This window comes from Homo sapiens, chromosome 13 (assembly GCF_000001405.40).
Source record: "Homo sapiens chromosome 13, GRCh38.p14 Primary Assembly".
NCBI classification, from domain to species: Eukaryota; Metazoa; Chordata; class Mammalia; order Primates; family Hominidae; genus Homo; species Homo sapiens.
The window spans coordinates 104,521,948-104,523,497 of NC_000013.11; the positions used below are offsets into that span (position 1 = coordinate 104,521,948).

Here is a 1,550-nt window from a genome sequence, read left to right on the forward strand (position 1 = left end):
TTCTTTTAGCGGTCAGGCGCCTCCTCCATAGGTCTGCTGCAGTTTGCTGGGGGTCCATTCCAAACCCTATTCACCTGGTTCCCTCCGGCCTCTGGAAGTATCACCAGTAGAGGCTGCAGACCAGTAAAATGGCAGCCTGCTCCTTTCCAGGGGCACCAACCTTATGCCGGCAGGAACACTCCAGTATGAGGTGTCTGGAGAGTCCTGTTGGAAGGTCTCATCCATTTAGGAGGAGCAGGCAAAGGGACCTGCTTAAATAAGCAGTCTGACTGCCCCTTGGCAGAACGGGTGTGTTGCACCCTCGTCCTAGCTGCCCTGACTCTCCAGAGGCGACAGACAGAAAAGGCTGACTGCTCATCCACCATACCGCAGCCACCCCTCCTCCCAGGGACTCCTCTCTGATCGGGGATATGAGAGTTCTGTCCATAAACCTCTGCCTGGGGATGCTGACATTCCCACAGAGAGTCCCCGCCTGATGAAGCGGGGCGGATCATCAAGGTCCTGCTTAAAGAAGCAGTCTGGCCTGGAACTGGCCCAGCGGGCAGCTGTGCTGCACTGTGGGGAATTGTGGAGAAAAAAAGAATAAAAAGGAGGGAACAAAACCTGTGAGAACTGTGGGGGATTATGTTATGCGGACTGGAGCCGCAGTGACGGTGGCCTTCTTTCCCCGCCCCAGAACATGGTCTTTTTAGGAAGTCTGCAGCCTGCTGCGGTGGCCAGTGGGGATTCCAGGCAAGTGGGTTTTAGCGTGTGGGGACCCATGGGAGCAAGGCCGCTTGGCTCCCTGGCTTCAGTACTTTTCCCACGGAAGTGGACGGATCTCCTGCCTCACGGGAGTTCCCAGAGCGCAGGATGCAGATACTCCTGTGTTTCAGTGCCTGCTCCAATGGCTGCCCACCCCAGCAGCTGCTGTGTGTCTTCACAGCTCTGTGCTTGAGACCCAAGGCCCTGGTGGCCTGCGCTTATGTGGGGACCTCCTGATCAGCAGGTTGCAAGGATCCGTGGAAAAAGCGCCATTTTCGTGGTGGAGGGGGAAGGGTAGGGACCGGGGTAGCAAAATCCCTCATGGCCTCCCTTGGCTGGGGGAGAAAGCTCCCTTTGCCCCGTGCATCTCCCTGGTGGGCCCTCACCCCACCCTGCTTCTCCTCCTCTGCCTCGGTCATGCCAACTGCCTCATTAGTCCCAATGAGAGAACCTTGGTACCTCAGTTGAACAGGCAGAATTCACAGGGCGTTTTTGTCCTTCTTGGTGGGAGCCCTAGAGCGGGGCCGTTTGCAGTTCAGCCATCTTGGCTCGCCCTGAAATATTTTTTCATACTCCCTTTCTATCAAAATGGTGATAATTTTTATGACATCTGCTATGGTTTGAATGTTTGTGACCCTCCAAAATTCTGGTTGAAATTTAATCCCTGTTGTGATGATATGATGAGGTGAAGGCTTTGGGAACTTGATTAAGTCATGAAGGCCTCACACTCATGAATATGATAAATGGCTTATAAAGGAGGTTTCAGAGAGCTGCCTGCCCCTTTGTCCCTTCCACCATGTAAGGAC

At 54.3% G+C, this 1,550-nt stretch overlaps 2 annotated features.

The window, feature by feature from the left end:
* Positions 332-832: an enhancer, noted in NCBI's record as "H3K4me1 hESC enhancer chr13:105174630-105175130 (GRCh37/hg19 assembly coordinates)". NCBI's record gives its function as "activates a minimal SCP1, AML or CMV promoter by ChIP-STARR-seq in naive H9 embryonic stem cells {active_cell/tissue: H9 hESC(naive)}" and the evidence as "EXISTENCE:reporter gene assay evidence [ECO:0000049][PMID:30033119]".
* Positions 833-1,333: an enhancer, noted in NCBI's record as "H3K4me1 hESC enhancer chr13:105175131-105175631 (GRCh37/hg19 assembly coordinates)". NCBI's record gives its function as "activates a minimal SCP1, AML or CMV promoter by ChIP-STARR-seq in naive H9 embryonic stem cells {active_cell/tissue: H9 hESC(naive)}" and the evidence as "EXISTENCE:reporter gene assay evidence [ECO:0000049][PMID:30033119]".